General features: G+C 47.4%; 1 protein-coding gene across 2 annotated transcripts, besides 2 other annotated features; it reads right to left on the minus strand.

Annotated features, from left to right (window-relative positions):
* On the minus strand, positions 1,719 to 20,434 carry DNASE1L3 (deoxyribonuclease 1L3). Of its 2 annotated transcripts, NM_004944.4 has the most exons (8): positions 20,228 to 20,434; positions 17,680 to 17,768; positions 14,933 to 15,022; positions 14,231 to 14,343; positions 10,459 to 10,571; positions 7,283 to 7,440; positions 2,805 to 2,901; positions 1,719 to 2,265 (listed from the first exon to the last, which is right to left on the minus strand). In NM_004944.4, the coding sequence occupies exons 1-8, from the start codon at positions 20,366 to 20,368 to the stop codon at positions 2,149 to 2,151; spliced, it is 918 nt and encodes a 305-aa protein (NP_004935.1). In that variant the 5' UTR covers positions 20,369 to 20,434; the 3' UTR covers positions 1,719 to 2,148. The 2 variants fall into 2 exon arrangements, with proteins under 2 accessions (NP_004935.1, NP_001243489.1); NM_001256560.2 differs by lacking the exon at positions 14,933 to 15,022.
* Positions 6,032 to 6,211: an enhancer, noted in NCBI's record as "active region_20001". NCBI's record gives its function as "activates an Ori minimal core promoter by ATAC-STARR-seq in GM12878 lymphoblastoid cells {active_cell/tissue: GM12878}" and the evidence as "EXISTENCE:reporter gene assay evidence [ECO:0000049][PMID:35858748]".
* Positions 16,374 to 16,453: an enhancer, noted in NCBI's record as "active region_20002". NCBI's record gives its function as "activates an Ori minimal core promoter by ATAC-STARR-seq in GM12878 lymphoblastoid cells {active_cell/tissue: GM12878}" and the evidence as "EXISTENCE:reporter gene assay evidence [ECO:0000049][PMID:35858748]".

Raw genomic sequence — 21,236 nt, forward strand, 5'->3', positions numbered from 1 at the left:
GGCTCCAGTAACCTGCTCCTGGGCAGGAGTGGAGAGATGTCTTGTTGGGAGGAAGCTGCAGGGTGTCAGGACCAAGTCAGAGCCATGGACTGACTCATTTAGTGTCTGGTCCTCCTTCCCATTCCTCCCCCACCCAGCATGGAGTCTCAAGCCCCAGCAGCCAGGGTTCTTATCCCAGCCATGTGGGCTTTCGGAGCTTGCAGTACTTTGGGACAGAAGGATGAGCCTCTCTCTCCGGAATAAGCCCATTTATGACTTGCTTGACTTTTTTTTTTTTTTTTGACAGAGTCTCACTCTGTCGCCCAGGCTGGAGTACAGTGGCACGATCTCAGCTCACTGCAACCTCCACCTCCCGGGTTCAAGCAATTGTTGTGCCTCAGCCTCCCAGTAGCTGGGACTACAGGAGTGTACCAGCATGCCTGGCTAATGTTTTGTATTTTTAGTAGAGACAGGGTTTCGCCATGTTGCCCAGGCTGGCCTCCCAAAGTGCTAGGATTACAGGCATGAGCCACCTCGCCTGACCTTGTTTGACCATTTTGGACCTTGGAAACTGGTAAGTTTCCTGGGACTATGAGCTCTGGCTTAGGAGAAGGGTGACAGATGTGTTAGCAGCCTTGCCATCACTCACCCCTCACCAATTCCAGTGAGACCTTTGTCCAATGAGGTTAATTGGACATTTGAGGAAGATGGCTTCCCGTGCTTAACCAGGGCCCTTTTGATTTTATTCCCCCAGTCAGATGTTACATAATTTCAAGTGTCAGACTTAAGGTCTTTTTCTCCTACATCAAAAGTCACATCATCCCCAATATATTAAAGGAAAAAAGCGAAGAGTGGAACCATGCATATGGTGTGCTATATTTTGTATTTTTAAGGTTACATATAGTGCTCATTTCTGTGCAGACTCTCTGGAAAAACACATGAGCTGGGAAGAGGGGCTGTTTCTGAGACAGGAAACTCGGGGATGGGGTCAGGGCACGGCATTCCTTTTCCCTGCTTATTCTTCGGTACTGTTCACACATTTAGCCATGTTCGTGTATGACTTGAACAAAGAAACATCAGGGAAAACAAAGCAAAACAAACAAAAATGGGCACCTTGGATACAGGCTAAATGGTGCTGTGTTGTTGGACTCCAATGAGCCTCCTTGATTGCAGAAAGATAACAAAATCCTCGAGTCCCAGCCAGCCCACTAGGTGTTTGTCACACTGGGGCCCCAAAGACCTCCAACACTGACCTTGGTGACAAATATAATGTGGTGGATGTTGCAATAGAGGTAGGGCGCACATGAGGGCTGGGGGCACTTGGCCCGGGCTCTGGAATAGGGCAGGGCATGGGGGGGGCAGAGCCAAGGCCCCCAGGGAGGGAGAGCATGGGGTATGCAGGGCGGAGGACATCCTCCTGGAGCAGGGGTTCAGGGTGGGACCCTGGCAGAAGGTGGGGCTGGCGCAATAAGCCAGATAGCAGAGACCTTCATGGTGGCCAAGACTGAGCTCTCTCCCATGGTGATGGGAGCCGCTGAAGGATTTATGGGCAGAGGGTGGGACTGAGGGTGGGACTGAGGGTGGGCTGTGGTCAGATTAGTATTTCAGAGGATGACACTGATGCTTCCTGGGCTGGCTGAGTTGGAGGACAATTCGAAGGCAGAGAAACCAGGTGGGAGTGGCCTTTATCCCTCAACACTGTGAGACGTGATGGTGGCCTGACCTCAGAGAGGAGGGGGCAGACTCTTAAAACAGTTAATTGCCCAAATCACAGGGGCAGCTGGGGCCTTGGTGTTTCTGGTCATTGCGTGTGGAACAGGACCCCTCATGAGGACTGAAAGCTGACGCTCTTCCTCCCCCTGCAGCCTCTCGCATGACAGGGTTGAGCAGGGCCAGTGACAGTGGATGGGGCTCTGGCTCAGGGCATGAAGATCATCATTTTGGTCTACAAATGCCCCTGGTTCCCTTTTAGACAATTCAGGGGAGGTATGAGACCAAGAGAGATACAAAAGATTCTCCTTCCAATTTGGCTCAAGTCAGAATAAATTCAGGTCAAAAAATGAAAGCAGTTGGATCACTCTTGTTTCCTAAGTACAGGGAGCAGTTCATATCTGTTAGAGACATTTTATTTAGAGGCAAGAAATGGTTAATAAGATGAGACCCTTGGGTCTAGGAGCGTTTGCTCTTTGTTTTCTTCCTTAGAGTGACAGATTTTTTGCTGTTGGTGAAGGCCCTTGAAGACTGTAGTTTAAATTCAACTGGAAAGTGGTCGCTGACATCCAGGGCCTATAAGGAGAAAGGGGAGGTAGACATGGAAATTAGGAGATGCCTGGGAGATGCTTTCATTTTAGCGATGAGCAAATTTAGGACCAGGGAGGGGAGAGGAAATGCCCGAAGTCACCCCACAGAACACTTACTGGTAAGCGTCATTCCAAGACCAGCTCGATCAGAAATTTTGGAGGGGCCTCAAATCACAGAATCATAGGCATTGAGGGTCAAGGTCTAGTGCCCAATGTTGTGTCTTCAGTGGTGACCTCAAAGGGTGGCATCAACCCATCTTTTTTTTTTTTTTTTTTTGAGACAGGATCTCACTCTGTTGCCCAGCCTGGAGTGCAGTGGTGCGATCTTGGCTCACTGCAACCTCCGCTTCCTGGACTCAAGTGATCCTCCCACCTCAGCCTCCCAAGTAGCTGGGACCATAGGCATGCATCACCATGCCCAGCTAATTTTTTTGAATTTTTCATAGAGATGGAGTCTCATCATGTTGCCCAAGCTAACTCATCTTTCCAGGACAATGGCATAGAAAGACAAGATGGCAACCTTACCTCCTCTTCAGTCAGCTTGTAAGCTTTCTGGAAGTCAAAAACACTGTTTGACTTGGGAACAACAGAACTGACGATTTCTTGTCCTCTAAGCACAATCCTGGAACAAGGGGAGGGAAAACAGTTGTGTTAATCCAACCTGTGATTGCTGAGATCAAACCAAGGTCTGTGTTTGCTGTCTGGAATTAACCGAGCAGTCTGGCCCTTTCATGTGGCGCTCAAAGTCCAGAGCTGGTTTTAGCCTGTGACCCCAAAGGACAGTGCCTACAACTGTGAAATAGGATCAGTCCCTGCCATGGTTCTGTGGACACCAGGACACTGTCTCCCAGTGTGGGCAATGTTCTGGTGGAGTAGGAGAAGATTTTATATGACACACGCACACTATCCCACACAACAATGACTTGCGTACTGAGAACGCTGTTCCTTTTTCAATTATTTTTCACTTTCCCTGATTTGATTATGGAGAAATTCTCAGGGAGGTGCTGGTTTGTCTTTAATACCTCCCTCAGTCCCGTGTTGACAGAGAGTAGGCTGCCATCTCCGAGCATTCTGCAGGCAAGAGAATTAAGGCAGAATTTAACAAGGCGTGATTTTCACTGGACTTAATTTTTACGTTACCTTCAATTTATGGCAAATGCTGCTGCTTTCTTACTCATGCTAGTATCATGAAATTTCTTTTAAAAATTTATTTCAGCAAGAAATTAAGCGATTTAATGGAAAATATCGAGAAAAATCACAGCATATGTGCTTTGCAATAATGACAAAAAGTAAGAATGAGGTAGTCAAATGAGTTTTGGAAACAAACTAACATATCCCAAGTTGGGTGATGCAGTTGTGGTCTACGTGGTCCTGAGTGACTTCCCGAGGAATGGCAAGGTGAGTCAAACTGCCATTTCATGAGTGACCAGTGGGCCTTCCCCATTCTAATCAACAGTTTTGGTATCTGCATTTGCTAACATCACCAGCACAACTAACTTTTTTTTTTTTTTTTTTTTTTTTGAGACACAGTCATGCTCTGTCACCCAGGTTGGAGTGCAGTGCGCCATCTCAGCTCACTGCAACCTCCACCTTCCGGGTTGAAGCGATTCTCCTGCCTCAGCCTCCCAAGTAGCTGGAATTATAGGTGTGTGCCACCACGCCTGGCTAATTTTTGTATTTTTAGTAGAGACGGGGTTTATCCCTGTTGGCCAGGCTGGTCTTGAACTCGTGACCTTAGGTGATCCGCCCACCTCAACCTCCCAAAGTGCTGGGATTACCGGTGTAAGCCACCGCTCCAGGGCTACGGCTTTTTTTTTTCTTTTTTTGAGACGGAGTCTCTCTGTGTCACCCAGGCTAGAGTGCAGTGGCGCAATCTCGGCTCACTGCAAGCTCTGCCTCCTGGGTTCATGCCATTCTCCTGCCTCAGCCTCCCGAGTAGCTGGGACTACAGGTGCCCGGCACCACGCCTGGCTAATTTTTTTTGTATTTTTTAGTAGAGACGGGGTTTCACTGTGTTAGCCAGGATGGTCTCGATCTCCTGACCTCGTGATCCACCGGCCGCAGCCTCCCAAAGTGCTGGGATTACAGGTGTGAGCCACCACGCCCGGCCCGGGCTACGGCTTTTAATTCAACCCAAATGTAAATTCTTCGCATCAAGTTAGACATTTGTGAAAGCTTTCTTTAAGACTCAGAAAGCAAAGAATGACATGTTAAAGGCTCTTCCATTTCTGACTTCTTCTAGGGATGTGCAGGACCAGGCCAGTGTTCATGTGACGTTTTCAGTCCAGGGCACCAGCCAGATCCTGGGCATCTTTGCATGTTCCCCCAGCACTCAGCACATGAGAGGTGTTTGATAAATATGTGAACATGGAACAAAGACTGGAACTGAGACCATCTTGTCTAATTACATTTTTAAAACATCATTTTTATGGCTTTTCATTTTCTCCGTTTATTTTATTTAATTTTACTTTTTATTTTATTGTATTGAGACAGGTCTCACTATGTTGTCCAGGCTGGAGTGCCGTGGCTATTCACAGGCATGTGATCATGTTGCTCTAAAGCCTTGAACTCCTGGGCTCAAGTGATCCTCCTGCCTCAGCCTCCCAAGTAGCTGGGATTACAGCATATGCCACCACAACTGGCCTATGACTTTTTAAAAGCCACAAGAGGCCGGGCATGGTGGCTCACACCTGTAATCCAAGCACTTTGGGAGGCCAAAGCAGGCGGATCACCTGAGGTCACGAGTTCAAGACCAGCCTGGCCAACATGGCGAAACCCCATCTCTACTAAAATTACAAAAAAAAAAAAAAAAAAAAAAAAAAGCGGGGCATGTTTGTGTATGCCTGTAATCCCAGCTACTTGGGAGGCTGAGGCAGGAAAATCGCTTGAACCCGGGAGGCGGAGGTTGCAGTGAGCCAAGATCCTGCCACTGCACTCCAGCCTGGGCGACAGAGCAGGACTCTGTCTCAAAAAAAAGAAAAAAAAGAGGCACAAGAGTTATACATGTTGTTATGAGAAACAAAATTCAGAGCATCAAAATAAGAAATGAATCTTTAAAATGTCACATGTAATCCCACCATCCTTTGGGATACATGTGTATAAAATCAGGATCCTTTTAGTAAACATCTTTTTCTAACCTGTTCTACCCCTGACCTGATCTACTGTGGCCATGTTGCCTTCTGATTCTTCTGTATCATTTTCAATCACTTCCCACTCATTTGCCAGGGGAGAAGAATGGCGCTGGAGAAGGGACTTGACCTACCCACGGGCACACAACTGCCATGTGTAACTGAGTGAGTGGCCATCGTCCAGGCTTTGCTGGAAGTCCTTCAAAATAGGGGGTCTGGGCACTTAGACCCCTGTAACTCCCCGCCTTGGGTTCCCACTTTGCAGAGTGATAACTTCTGCAAAGGAAACACCAGCCTCAAAAGCTCCAAGAGGAACAGGCCGGGCATGGTGGCTCACGCCTGTAATCCCAGCACTTTGGGAGGCCGAGGCGGGCGGATCACGAGGTCAAGAAATCAAGACCATCCTGGGTAACATGGTGAAACCCTGTCTCTACTAAAAATACAAAAAAAAAAAAAAATTAGCCAGGCGTGGTGGCGGGCGCCTGTAGTCCCAGCTACTCGGGAGGCTGAGGCAGGAGAATGGCGTGAACCCGGGAGGCGGAGCTTGCAGTGAGCCGAGATCGCACCACTGCACTCCAGCCTGGGCAACAGAGCGAGACTCTGTCTAAAAAAAAAAAAAAAAAAAAAAAAAACTCCGAGAGGAAGTGAAAACGAGTGGCCTGGTGGCTCTCATGCAGATGGCCATCTCACACTTCCTCGTGGCAGGCTGAGCTCTGGGAACTGTGGCCACCACCTGGGACCAGGCTCCTAGGGGTTTCCCCACCTGTGGTCTCTGTGATGGAAGATCACTAACATTCACACGCCTCAGGCACTCCCCCCTCTGTCCCCATTGAAGGAGCAAAGATGAAAGCTGTTTGAAAATCCCTGAAGGGACTTTAAAAAGCACGAGGGAATGCTAGGACTTAAATGTATGCATTGCATTTAGGAATATGTAGCTAAAGCTTTAAAAATATAAATACCGTTGCACTAATTGGTCTCATTTTTAGGGTTGCTTCCTGAGGAAATCATAAATACTTGCACAAAATGCACAGAGGATATTGATTTTAGCAGTATTTATAACAGCAAACCCTTGGTAATAACCCAATGCCTAATGATGGGGATTGGGCGCATCAATTGCGGTAAGTCTTTGTGATGGAACAATGATCAGCCCATGAATGTAATGAGCACTTGCCGTATGCCAGGCATTGTGCTAGCAGCCTGACATGTTATTTCATTTACTCCACATCGGATCTTCATGAGTGAGGCACTAGGATAACTTCCATTTTACAGGGGAGGAAATGAAAGACACAGAGAGCTTGTCTCTTGGTCACAGACATATGAAGTGATAATGTCAGGATTTAAATCCAGGCCTATCTGATAGCGAAGCCAGTGCTTACCTCTGCTAAGCTACAGTGCCCAGGGCCACCGCATAGGGTCCTGTGGTTCATACGCTACATGTGGTACCCAGTAGAGGGGCCTGACATTTAATTGACTCAGCTCTGCAAGCAGTGTGCTTTTCTTATTTTTATTTTTATTTTTTATTTTTGAGACAAAGTCTCACTCTGTTACCCAGGCTGGAGTGCAGTGGTGCGATCCTGGCTCACTGCAGCCTCCACCTTCTGGGCTCAAGCGATCCTCCCACCTCAGCCTCCTGAGTAGCTGGGAGTATAGGTGTGTGCCACCATGCCTGGCTAATTTTTGTATTTTTTGTAGAGACGGGGTTTCATCATGTTGCCCAGGCTGGTCTCAAACTCCTGTACTCAAGCGATCCATCCATCGAGGCCTCCCAAAGTGCTAGGACTACTGGCGTGAGCCACAGTGCCCAGCCACCTTGCGTCTTTCCTAGTGCACACCAAGCACTGTGGTGAGCCAGCAGCACCCTGCAGGGCCTCCTACCTGTCATATGCACAGTTGGTGCTCTTCTTCACCGTGGTGTCCTCTTGGTCCCCGATCAGCCAAACAAACCTGGGGTCAGTCCTCAAGCGGATGTTCTTCCAGGCCTTCTTGGGGACGTAGCTGCAGCCGGCATTGAAGTCACCCATGAAAATGAAATTCTAAAAGACAAGATTTGGAACTGTCACCTGGTGGGTGCTGCTGCAGAATGCTTTCACACTGGACTCTAGCAAAGACTCTGCGTCCCAGGCCCAGTAAACAACAGGGTCTGTTATGGGCTGAATCTTGTCTACCCCCTGCTCCCGCCCCGGCCAAATTCCTATGTTGAAGTTCTAACCCCCAGCACCTTAGAATGCGACTGTATTTGGAGATAGAACCTTTCAAGAGGGAATTAAGGTAAAATGAGGTCATATGGATGGGCTCTAATCCAATATGACTGGCGTTCTTGTAAAAAGGGGAAATTAGGACACAGAAAAGTGGAGCAAAGACCATGTAAAGACACTGGAAGAAGATGGCCGTCTACAAACCAAGGAGAGAGGCCCCCAAAAGACACCAGCCCTGCTGGCACACCTTGTTCTGGGACTCCAGCCTCCAGAACGGTGACGAACTCACTTTCTATTGTTTAAACTTCCCAGTCTTCAGTATGGTACTTTGTTATGGCAGCTCTAGCAAATGAATATAAGGTCTTTAAAAATTTCTTTTTGTTGTTTAAAATTGAGTCACAGTTTTGATGAGTCGATGACAGGCGAGTGCGTACCAGGGAGGATGTTCTTAACAGGAAGGAGAATGTTTGCTGTTCTTAGTCGCCACATTTCCATAATTCAGCATGCAGAGTCAGGTGTGGATAAAAAAAATTTCAGTGAATCTATTCCCTCACATCTTTTGTCCCTGGCTCAAACTACTGTAGGGTGTAAATATACGAATGAATCAACGCCTTTTGCTTTCAAGCAGGAAAAGTGAATTTGGGTGGTGTATTGACAACCCTGGCATCACTCTTTCTCTCCTATTGTTTTGAAGTTGGAAACTTATTTCTGTGAAAATTCAGTCCCTTGAGGAGGTGGGAGGCATCTTCAGGGGAGGGGACCATTGAGTGAGCTGTCCACCCCCACCCAAGGCCACCAAGAGAAACTTCCTATCTTGGAAATATTTTTCCCTGCAAGGCTCTTGGAACAGAATTTTCAACATTCCACAATCCAGAGGAAGTGCCAGATTTCCTTGTTTGTGCTATTGTTTGGTGGGGCATTGCTGACTTCAGAGTTTTCTTCAAGAACATTTTATTTTGACCTTGGTGATCACAATTTTCCCCATGATTGATGGGTTCAGTTGAGGACAGAGTGTCATCCTTAACCTCAGTGATCACCAGCTTCTGCTAATATAGACATGATTTGCTGAACATTCACTATGTGCCAGGCCTAGCACTAGGTGTTTTTAAATTTACACCTGGCAGCAATAAACAATAGGAGGTACAAGAGCCCACTAACTTCTATAGAAACAGGATTGAGAGATTAAGTGACCTGCTCTAGGCCACAGGACTGGGAGGTTCAAATGGTGAAGTCAAGAATCACATCCCAGCCAGGCGCCGTGGCTCACGCCTGTAATCCCAGCACTTTGGGAAGCCGAGGCGGGTGGATCACCTGAGGTCAGGCATTCAAGACCAGCCTGGCCAACATGGTGAAACCCCATTTCTATTAAAAATATAAAAATTAGCCAGGCGTGGTGGCACATGCCTGTAATCCCAGCTACTCGGGAGGCAGGAGAATCACTTGAACCCGGGAGGTGGAGGTTGCAGTGAGCCGAGATTGCACCATTGCACTCCAGCCTGGGGACAAGAGCGAGATTTCATCTCAAGAAAAAAAAAAAAAAAGAATCACATCCCAGTCTGCTTCACTGAAGCAGTTTCCCCTCTTGTTCACTTTTAGGCCACTGATGCCTCCCCACAGCCCAACACTCAATAGATGCTCAATACATTCTTGTTTAATAAGTGAATGATTTCATAATTTTTGGAAAGAATGAATCTTTCTTTTGACCTATTTATTAATAAGCAATGAAATACACCCCTGGTCTTTTCCATGCCCCAGCTCTGATGGACTATGTTCACACTTTATTTGATTCATTTTGCATTTGAGCAGCAGAACTCAAGAGGAGGAAGGGGGATCACAGGAGTCACATTCCGAAACGAGAAAAGAGAAATACAGAAGAAGAACCCTTGGGTGCACTTCCATATTTACCAAGAGCTTTCACAGCCCCTCACAGCCACAAGTGGTCTCTTCCAAAAGTGGAAAGAACTGAGCCTATAGGGATGGCAAATATGTGCCCCCTTCTGTGAAAACAGCACCCCAAGTTCCTTTGGGAGACCACCCATCCCTCCTCCACCTCAAACTGAGTTTGGGGTGGAGCTGGGGTGGACACAGATTTAGTCAATCAGAGTAGCTCAACACCCTGATCACAATGATTGGTTCAGGGATGGACACCTGACCCAGTCAGAGCCAATGAGACTCAGTCCCACACTATTTGTTGCCTTGTGGGAAAGAAAATTTATTTTGGTCTGGAGGCTGCTGGTGGCTGTCCTGCCATCCCAGGGATGGAACCAACCTGAGAATGGAGCCACACAGAGGAAAGGGCAACCAGGAGATAGAAAGGAAGAGACAAATCAAGCTCTGATTACCTTGTCTGAGCCCTGGATCCAGCTATGCCTGAAGTACTCCTGGACATTTCAGTTACACAAACCAATCAATTGCTCCTTTTTTTCATGAGCCATGTTAAGATTCTGTCCCTTGCAACTGAAACAATCCTGACTGCTCTATGCCTTACACTTCTCAATTGCAAAGTGGGAATGAGAAAGGTACTGTAGCTACCTCAAGGGATTATTGGGAGGATTAAATAAACTTGTCCATGTCAAGTCTCAGCACAGTGCCTGGCACTAGCTATTCACTCAGTAAATGTTGGCATCTGTTATTAATGGGAAAGTGTGGCAATTCCCAAGGCCCACATGCAGGGTACCCAGGCAGATTTAGCAAAAGGGATACTTAGGGCTGAAGAAAGGCCTTAAAGAATGCTGTAAGTGGTGGTAGCCTGCACATGCCCTTCCTCCTCCCCCTCCCTGGAGAGGTACTCATCCCACTCAGGGACCAGAGCCTGCCCCTGCTAGATGGGAATTCGTCTGACACAGCAGTCCTCACCTCCGCCTTCCAGCGGTGTTTCACGTCCGTGTAGACCTCAACCAACTCATCGATCTCCTTAACGGATGTCTCTGGGGTGGTGTGCAGGGGGATAATCACGAAGTCTTTGACAGCTGAGAAACAGGAAAGAGGCGGGGGTCACACACTTCCCCTGTCAAGGTCTCATAAACACTGCTGGAGGGAAACCAGCTGTCCCCTCCAGAAGGCACAGGCTGCATTATCTGGGTCCCCAGTTCCCAGAGGGTCCAGCCAGTGGCCGAGATTTTAATGATCTTGGGGTCATTAGGCTGCCTATTTTTAGTACACGAAAGACTCATTTCTCCCAGTTGCCCTTCATGGCTAAGAGAAAGCTGGTAGACTGTTGTAGAAAGTAAAAAAGTTTCCTCTTCAAAGTTTCCCTTCTTATTAAAGAATAAATCATAAGTGTTAGAAATAATAGTTTCCTTTAAAGACTAACTTCCTTCAAGTCTCCTTGCTTTGTGCTAATAACTCTTTGTTAAGCTCTATCCTATGTAGCTGTTAGACATGCTCACAGGCACATAGTACATTCTATGTCCTTGTACCTTAACCAAGATATTTGTGCTGGACATTCCAGCTCGCAGGCACATTCCAGCTCACAGCCTTTGCCCCTTCCCTATTTGGCATAAGCAACTTCCTCTTTTCCTTTGTTCTCCCTTGCCTTTACCTATTTAAGAAAGGTTTAAATTATTAGCCAGTCGGGTTAGCTTAGATTGTGTGGTCTGGCTCCAGCCAATAGAGAGACAGGACACAGTAGCAGGGACAAGCTGAGTAAAGGATAAAAATTGCTTCCCTCCTTTATTCAGGTGTGCTCTCGCCATTGTTCCATCTGCAAGGAGCACCCTTTCTGCAGAAAGTAAAATTGGCTTGCTGAGAAAACTTTTTATCTGAATGTTGATTTTTCCTTGCAGTACCAGGGAACAAGCATTCTGTTTCTAAATAAACATTTTACTTATAACAACTGTGTTCCATGCTGGCATTGTGAGTGCTTTTATTTTCCCCTTTTTGTGTGTGTGGCAAATCTGTATTTTCTTTTGTTTCTGATGTATTTTATCCCTCTTCTTTCTTTTTTTAATTGACAGGAAAAATTGCATATATTTATGGTTGTATTTTCTTCTTTTTTTTAAAGGTTTCCTTTTTTTTTTTTTGAGACGGAGTTTCGTTCTTGTTGCCCAGGCTGGAGTGCAATGGCACAATTTCGGCTCACTGCAACCTCTGCCTCCCAGGTTCAAGTGATTCTCCTGCCTCAGCCTCCCAAGTAACTGGGATTACAGGCATGCACCATCATGCCTGGCTAGCTTTGTTTTTTTTTTTTTTTTTTTTTTTTTGGTAGAGACAGGATTTCTCCATGTTGGTCAGGCTGCTCTCAAACTCCCAACCTCAGGTGATCCACCCATCTCAGCCTCCCAAAGTGCTGGGATTACAGGTGTGAGCCACCACACCCAGCTGGGAGTTACAAAAAGAGTATAAACTGACCCATCTCAGCCTCCCAAAGTGCTGGGATTACAGGCATGAGCCACCGAGCCCAGTCGCACATTTTCTAGTTAAAAAAAAATTGGCCAGGCGTGTTGGCTTACTTCTGTAATCCCACCACTTTGGGAGGCTGAGGCTGATGGATCACCTGAGGTCGGGAGTTCCAGATCAGCCTGACCATCATGGAGAAAACCTGTCTCTACTAAAAATACAAAATTAGCTGGGGGTGGTGGCGCATGCCTGTAATCCCAGCTACTTGGGAGACTGAGGCAGGAGAATCGTTTGAACTTGGGAGGCAGAGGTTGTGGTGAGCCTAGATCACGCCACTGCACTCCAGCCTGGGCAAGAAGAGTGAAACTCTGTCTAAAAAAAAAAAAATGAGGCTTGTCAGTTTATACTCCTTTGTAATTAAGAACAAAAGTTCCAAAAAGCTATTTAAAAATTAGCATGGTCTTCACGAAAGACTTTTGTGAAGTGTCTGAAAACCTTCCCCCACCGTTGGAGGACTGAGAGCCTGAGTGTGGCAATGTGCGCGAGCCTCAGAAGCCGTTCCTGGCCCACCTGCTAACAGCAGCTGTCGCCTTCTGAGCAGCTCCTCCTGGGACTTCCCCTCATTCTCAGCCTGGATTCCCACTCTTACCTCAACAGACACGGGCTGTGGGGCGGTCACTGCTCAAGTCACACAGAGAGGAGCCAGAACTCAGCCCAGCAGGCTGCATCCAGGGCCCCACGTGTCCTCATTGCCAGCTCTCCTCCTCAGGCCTCCACTGCACTCCTCCATCCTCTTTTTGGTCCCCCTAAATATTCCAGCTTCCTTCCCACTTCTGAGCTTTTGTGCTCACTGTGCCCTCCATGTGGAATGCCCTTTCTCCAGCCCTCTGTATGGCTGACTTCTTCAGGTCACAGCCCAATGTCACCTCCTCTGTCTTGTCCAGTGCCCTCAACAGAGCCTGGTACATAGTAGGTACTGAAAAAATATTTGATTCTTGACTCCATCGAGCATTGCATAACACTGCATGTTAACCACTGGCTGGGCACAGTGGCTTACACCTGTAATCCCAGCACTTTGGGAAGCCAAGGCAGGCAGATGGCTTGAGCTCAGGGGTTCAAGAACAGCCTAGGCAACATAGCGAGACCTATCTCGCTATTTAAAAATTTTAAAATTAGCTGAGTGTGGTGGTGCATGCCTATAGTCTGAGCTACTTGCGAGGCTGAGGTGCGAAGATTGCTTGAGCCCAGGAGGTGGAGGTTGCAGTGAGCCAAGATCATGCCACTGCATTCCAGACTGGATGACAGAGCAAGGCCCTATCTCAAAAACAGAAGAAAAAAAAAAGAACATGAGCTCCTGAGGTGGTGGCCTGGGTTACAACCCTGGCCTGTCCATTTCAGTAGCTGGGTGACTCCATGCCTTTTTAAACCTCAGTTTCCTGAAATGTAAAGTGGAGATAATCCTACTCCCTACCTTGTAGTCATTGCAAGGATTACAGGAGGCTGGCACTTAATCAGGGGCCAGTACAAGTACTGTTGTTAGAGTTCAGGGAGCAATCCATTTGGATTTCCTCACCCGCTGCGGCCTGTGGAGGAGTCTGCGATGCAGTGACTGGAGGGAGAGTGAGCCTCTAGGCTAGGGGTTCACCTAAGCCATTGCTTAGGATTTTTTTTTTTTTTTTGAGACAAGAGTCTCACTCTATCGCCCAAGCTGGAGTGCAGTGGTACGATCTCGGCTCACTGCAACCTCTGCCTCCCTGGTTCAAGTGATTCTCCTACCTCAGCCTCCCGAGTAGCTGGGATTACAGGTGCGCACCACCATGCCCAGCTAATTTTTGTATTTTTAGTAGAGACGGGGTTTCACCATGTTGGCCAGTCTGGTCTCAAGTTCCTGACCTCAGGTGATCCACCTGCCTCAGCCTCCCAAAGTGCTGGGATTACAGCCATGCGCCACCGCACCCAGCCAGGATTTTTAAAAAGGAAGGAAGAGTTGTACTTGACAGGTACCAAGGAATTGCAGAAAACAATTTCCATGAGCCTAAACTCTCCAAAGAGAGTGGACTACCATTGCTTCCAGAAAGTGGGTTCTGGGCTGGGGAAGTCTTGAGTCATGGCATTCTGAGAAGCAAGCCTGGTGCCATCACACTGAACTGCATCGTCTACATTGAAGTATTAGAAGCAATGCACTGTCACATCCAGCCTAATGCCTCCTTAATGGGCTCATGCTCAAGGCTGCTGCGCATTCATGGGCCGTTGGGGAGGTCCCAGACAGAAAGGCCTGTGTGGGTCTTACCAGTGTGGGGAGATTGGAACCAGACCACAAAGGGCTCCCTGGAAAACACATCTGCGTCTCCATCCTGATAGTCATGGTAGTGATAACTCCTCTTCACAGACACCAGCTTTTCCCTATAAGAAGGAAAAGGAAGTCCTCCCAGCTGAGTCAGCCCTTTTCTTACTACTTTCATGAAGCAGAGATGTAGGTTCCCATGGCTTTCTCAGAAGCCAGAGCAGGCTCAAGCACAGGATCGTTTTCCTGAGAACAAGGCTAAGTCAACTCTTCTCAACAGCCAGGGAGCTGTTGCGAATCTGGGAGCTGAAGATCTGAGCCATACTAGTTATCTGTGGCACCCAAAAGTTAATGTTCAGACTTAAGAAATTACTAGCAGGAAGAGGAAAAGAATACGAAGTTCAGGAATCAGCTGTGCTGAGAACCTCAGCTTTCCAGCCCTGGGCCAGGACTTGACTATGAGGAGTAAAGAACACCTGGCCTGCCAACCATGGAGCCAACCAACAAATTAGGTGTTTGGAGACCCCTTGTGTTTTCAGCTTGAAGAGTCAATACTTTGCATAGGCCCCTAGTTTTGACAGCAATTATTTTGATGAACACTGAGAATTGGTTAGAAATCAAAATTTGGTTTTGAAGAAAAGACATGCATTTTGATTCAATTCACGATTTATTGGTGGCCATGTTCCAGGGAGCATAGGTGATACTTACTTGTAGAGAAAGGCATATTGTTCTTTATATGTGTTTCTTCCAAGCCGAGAGCTAATCACATAGTTGTACGTTATGCCTCTCCTTGAATTTCTAGAAAACAAAGATTTAACACTGCATCTTGAAGAGTAAACATTCCCCTACTGTACATGTTCCTTTCTTTCCAATCTGCCTCCATACGCCCAATGGCATCATGTGGAAGGGCCACTGTTCATCATAACCTTTGAGTCCAATGAGAGGAGCCACCATTGATTGGCTGGAATGTGGCATCTGCCACGATCTTTACAGCCATTATTTCTTGCCTTATGAGGAGAGTGTTATCATTACCCCCTTTCTATGGTTTGCAAGCCCAAAGCTGGGATTTGAACCTAGATCCAACTCACCCCAAAACCCGCATGCTTTGGCCTGTACCTGTGGGAGGCCACTGAGACCCTAGAAGACAATCTTGGCCAGAATCAGCCCCTGACCCCGCTCATGCCCATGGCTGCAGCTGCAGCTCATGCTTTCTGGTGGAATAAATGTCATCAGGCCACCTGTCCGTGTCCACGAACCACTCCTGAGCATTTATGATAAGCAGGAATATTCTCTCCTCTGAAAGCCATCAGGCATTTTTTTACAAGCTTTGGGACCACGATTTCAATTCACTGTTGTTTATATCCTGGGTGCTGGGGATACAGCCATGAAGTCCCATTGACCTTGCCCCTCACCTGCACCAGGGAAAGCGGACTCTTTCTGTGTGTTTACCAAACCTGCTGATAACTCCACTCTGGGCAGAGCCTAACATAATTTCACTCTATCTGCTCACAAAAAGATCTAGGGCATGTCTAAAGCTGCAGCATATTCTCAGATTCAGTTGGAAAAAAAGCAGAAGGGGTATTTAGGGGCCAACTTAGACCTTACAGAAATTCCTGGGACTTCAGATGCAGTATGCTAAGGCAGACTTAGCCCCTGGGGCCCCAGGAGTGTGAACAGTAGGTTCTGCCGGGCTTCCACTTTGGGGAGACTGGCCCTATTTTGAACATAGCCTGCCAAGTCCTGAGTTAGCAAACTGCTTGTGGTGACTCAGTTGCAAAGTGACTAAGGCCCATCCTGGCTTGTGGGGGATAAAGAGACAAACAGGCTTGGCTCTGCTTGGAGTCCGCGACAGTCTAGATAGGTTGGGGTGTGCCAAGACCACTGGTGGTGAAAAGACTCGCCCCAGACTGACTGTGGAGGAGATGACTGGAGCCTACCTGTCCCCTCAGTCCCCCACAAACCTGTCCCCTCAGTCTCCCATAAACCTGACTGGGGACACTCCAAGGAAGGCTGAGATGACAAAGAATAGAGCACTGGCTATGAGATCAGATGTGACGCAAGTTCAAAGGTAGGCTTGGCCACTTCCTGGCTGGGTAACTCAGGCAGGTCCCCCACTCAGTTCCCTTACTATAAGGGAAGCCCTTAGGCAGACTGACATGGATTCTTGCCTGTCCCTACAATTGTCCTACACATGCCTTCCCTATGATGGATAAGCCCAGAGCCTGGGGGATGATGGCACCAGGATCTACCATCTCATCTTGCTCCTGCCCAAGACCCAGACATGGCTTTTGTTCAAAAGTCCCTATTAAGTGTTTCTTGCTGAGATGGCCAGGTGCAGCGGCTCACACCTGTAATCCCAGCACTTTGGGAGGCTGAGAGGGGCAGATCACTTGAGGTCAGGAATTTAAGGCCAGCCTGGGCAACATAGCAAAACCCCGACTCCACTAAAAATACAAAAATTAGCTAGGCATAGTGGGTGTGTGACTGTAATCCCAGCTACTTGGGAGGCTGAGGCAGGAGAATCACTTGAACCCAGGAGGCAAAGGTTGCAGTGAGCCGAGATCTTGCTGCTGCATACCAGCCTGGGCAACAGAGTCTCAGATTTAAAAAGTACTAAAATAAGAAGCAAGTGCCCCTCACTCCTTCACTAACCCCTTTCACCACAGCTCTCTGATCACACCCCCCCCCCCCCCACCAGAAGTAACCACTATTAATAGTTTGGAGAGCATCCTTCCAGTCTTTCATCTCTATGCACATGGAAACACAAACACACCCTTATTCATGTAACATGATGACTCAAATGGGCTATTTTACCTGCAATTCTCAACTTGCTTTTTTTCAATATATTGTGGCCATTATTCCGTGCTGGAATATTTAGCTCTAACTTATTCTGTAGCAAGCATGATTTTTTTTTTAAGAGATAGGGTCTTGCTCTGTGGCCCAGGCTGGAGTGCAGTGGTGTGATCATGGCTCACTATAGCCTAAACCTCATGGGCTCAAGCGATCCTCCCACCTCAGCCTCCCAGGTAGGTGAGACTATAGGCACGTGCCACCACACCTGGCCACCAGCATGACTTTTAACAGCTGCATAATATTCCTGTGTGTGAGCATGTTGTAATTTTATTATCTTTCTTCTACTATTGGTTTCTAATCTTTTCTCTTTTCTCCAACATTTTCTTCATAACTGTACTTTTTAGCTCAGCCTCATCTGCTTTTTTCATTTCTTTCTGTGTCCAGACCCCTCATCTATTTCCCCTATTCTATTTTATCACAGTAAAATCAACTGGTTGAAAGTTCTCAGGACCGTGGCTAAGGGAGCTGGACTCCTGGGCAACACTGGCTGTGTGAACTGGTGGTCAAGTGCGGGATCTCACATTACTTTCAGTTCCCAGGGGTTTTCAGATGCCCTTGCACTTGACCTTGAGCCCTAGAGGGCCCACCCTTCCCCATGTTACCTGTTCAGCTTCTCCATCAGTATGGGGCAGATCCTGTTGTTGCTGTCCTTGATTTCCATCACGAGTATGATGTCACAGCGTTTGATGACCTGCAAGAAAGAGAATTCCCAGGGGTTTGAGGTCATTTACCACAGATAAATAAAACCTTTTATTGGACACTTACTGTTTTTAAGTATTGCACTGAGTGCTTATTAAAATAATTTCTTCTCTGAACTAAATGAAGGACTCCCTGAGGTAGGTAGGTGCTTTTGTTATGTACATTTTAAAGAGGAGCGTGAGACTCAGAGAAAGTTGAGTAAATTACACTCCCAATCACCCTACTAGAAAATGGCGGAGGCAGAATTTGAACCTATGTAATTCAAGCCCAGAGCCCCTTGCTCATGACCTCCCCACAATATCCTGCCTCTTGGCTTTGCTTGAATAATTACAATAATAATAATAAATATTTATTAAGCCCTTAGTAAGCAAAGATAACAGACTGGATTAGAAATAAAGAGGTATAATTATAATGATAATAATTATAAAAGCTGACATTTACTGCAAACCTACTCCGAGCCTTACAACAACCCTGTGGGGTAACTATGCTTATTAGCCCATTAAACATAGGCAGAAACCAAGCTCAGAGTGGTTGAGTGACTAGCTTAAAGTCATACAGCCAGGATAGGTGGTAGAGTCAGGATTTGAACTTAGGTCTGCGTGACTACAAAGCCCACCATGTTGAACTGTTAAAATACAGTCCCAGCCGGGCACGGTGGCTTACGCCTGTAATACCAGCACTTTGGGAGGCCAAGATGGGCAGATCACCTGAGGTCAGGAGTTCGAGACCAGCCTGGCCAACATGGTGAAACCCGCCTCTACTAAAAATACAAAAATTAGCACCTATAGGAGGTGCTTGGTCAATGGGCGCTAGGGATAATCCTATTCTGAATGCCTGGCATTCTCGGGTGACTGTGAGTGCCCTGTAGGGTAGCTCTTGCAGTGTTTTGGGGATGGCCTCTTGGTAGGATGGGGAGGGTGAGGCAGCCTTGACAAGGACTTCGGACATGCTCTGCAGGACACAGCTGCTCAGGGGAGATGCAGAGTTCAAGCCCCCATGATGGACTCACCAAGGAACAAAAAGACAGCCGGGTTTCATCAGTGAGGAAGGAGATGGGAACTCAGTGGCTACCCAGGCTCCACGGGCCATGTGTGAAGTGGGGAAAATCATTGCCTTGCATGTCAGGGTTTCCCATTGAACAATCTTGTCATGGCTCCCACAGGCTTGGCATTGCTATCCTGGCTAAACAACACCATCTAGAAGGCCTTGGTTACCTCCCAAAGGGCAGGGCCACCTGGGTCTGAGAGGCTCGTCCAAGGAAGAACAGAGCCTGCCAGTCCTCACTCCAATCCTCCTTCCCAGTGACAGCAACAGCAGCGGCTCTGGCTCATGAATACCCACCTTGCTGCAGGCTCTGCTGGGTGCCTCAGGCACCCTGAGTTCTCTTCACCAGCCAGTGCTACAGGTGGTATTTGGATGTGGTCGCCATTTTACTAGGGGAGCTGGTGGTTCAGGGAGGGGCAGGGCCTCCCAAGCTCACAAGTCTGGTAGGTGGAATCTGGACCCAGGGCTCCTGGCCCCCCTACCACACCATGGTGTCTCAGGTTTCCTAAGGTAATAAGTACCTTTCCAGAGTCCTGGGAAAGGGTTAAGTTGCCAGCATCAAAAATTAATTAACCTGTAGGATAAAGGGAGTCAATTGACTCCAGAGAAAGCAAGCAGTGTCCCCGGACATTGGGTATATCACCCAAGGAAAGCGTAAGCGAAAGTGGAAGGAGTGGGGAAGTAGAGGAGAGGGAGAGAGGAAGGAAGGAGGAGAAGAAGAAAGAAAGACAAAGAGAGGGAGGGATGATGAGGATGGGAGAGAGAAGGAAGGAAGGAAAAAAGTAAGGAAGGGAAAGGAAGAAAGAAACAAAGAAAAAGAGAAAGGAAGAAGAAAGAAAAGACAGAAAGAAGAAAGAAAAAGGAAGAAAGAAAAAGGAAGAAAGAAAAAGAAAGAAAGAAAGAGAGAAAGAAAGAAAAGAAAGAAAGAAGAAAAGGAAAGAGAGAGAAAGGAGCTGGGCTTTGCTGGTGAAAAGGAGTAGCTGTATAAGGTTACTTCATCTTTCTTTGTTCATCACCTCTACATGGGGAGTAATAGTCCCTCTTCATAAAGATTATGAAGTGAAACCATGTGCTTATAGTGCCTGATACAGGCATTCAATAAATAGCAATAAAAATCATAATGGCTAACCCTTATCTGGAACGTATAATGAGCCAGATACTACATTAAGAGCTTTCCATTTGCCAACTCCTGTAGTCCCCCCAGCAACCCTGGAGGGAACCATTGTTATCACCCCTGTTTTAAGATGACGGCAGGAGGTACAGAGAGTTGAAGTGGTTATTGTTCCAAGCCAGCTTCTACATTCCCCCTAAGGGCCAACTTTAAGTTCCTTGAGTCTCTTAAAGTCTGCAGACAGGAGAGAGGGTGTGAGGGGTGTCTGGGATCCTCCTCCCAGGAAAGGGGCTCACCTTCACAATGACATCCATGGCATTCTTGTCTTCCTGCTTGCTTTCCCCAAAGGACCTGACGTTGAAGGAGCAGATCCTCATGGCCAGGGCGCTGTGGATGGAGAGGAGGAGAAGCAGCAGTGGGGCCAGCTCCCGTGACATCCTGGCGCTGCTCTGGCTTCAAGACTCTGTGAGAAGACAGCAGTGCTTGGAGTGCTGGATTCTGGCCACTTCCGCAGGCTCCACTGACTTATAAAGCCTGCAGATAACAGGAATTACTGGATTTCTCCTTGCAACTTTCAGTTCTCTGAGGAACTGAAGATCATGGGTTTTAATCCCCAAGGAAATACAGATACATTGGGCTAGCCTTTAAGGAGCCCTTATGTTCGTCACCCTGGTGCAGAAATTGGCATGCCTCATTTAGGCGCCATCCTCCACAAAGTCACTCATATCCCAACCGGGAGCCAGCTCTGACATCTAGTCATCGGTCTTGCGGTTGCATGCCATGTGCCTTTTCCTGACAGTGGATGAACTCGGAAGTGGTCCACCCTAGAGGGCACCTGGGGTGACGGAACCTTCTGCTGGGGGACAATGAGGCAGGAGGCATGGGAAATTCTGCTCGGTTTTCTCTAAATCACTGGGATTTGGCGGCCTGCTGTCCTCAGACACACCCAGACTGTGACTCTAATTGCCCTGGTGGTGTAAAGTAAGGTCAAGAGTAGTTTGAATTACTTAATTTTTTTAGGCAGCTTTACCGTACAAATACTAGGAGTGTGTTGCCAGAGAAAGCAATTGGGGATCTGATGGAATGGATGAGGAAAATGTCCCTGGACTCTGCGAGCAAATAGCCCGTGAAACCCATGGAGAGACCCGTGATTGAAGCTGATATTAATTTAATATTGGCGAGAGTTGTGTGACCCTGGGAGAGAAAGGTCTTGTAAGAACTGTAGGATATCAACTCAAGCAAAATGACTTTTAGAGATATGGGCAGGAAACTATGAAGATCTGTAAAGCAAAAAAAAATTAAAAA

Source organism: Homo sapiens, chromosome 3 (genome assembly GCF_000001405.40).
Source record: "Homo sapiens chromosome 3, GRCh38.p14 Primary Assembly".
Taxonomy (NCBI): domain Eukaryota; kingdom Metazoa; phylum Chordata; class Mammalia; order Primates; family Hominidae; genus Homo; species Homo sapiens.

Coding starts and splice junctions, on each gene's coding strand:
- DNASE1L3 (NM_004944.4), bottom strand. CDS start 20,368: ATGTCACGGGAGCTGGCCCCACTGCTGCTTCTCCTCCTCTCCATCCAC. Junction 17,769..20,227: donor CCATGGATGTCATTGTGAAG/GTGAGCCCCTTT, acceptor TCTTTCTTGCAG/GTCATCAAACGCTGTGACAT. Junction 2,902..7,282: donor ACCAACTGTGCATATGACAG/GTAGGAGGCCCT, acceptor CCCTTGTTCCAG/GATTGTGCTTAGAGGACAAG.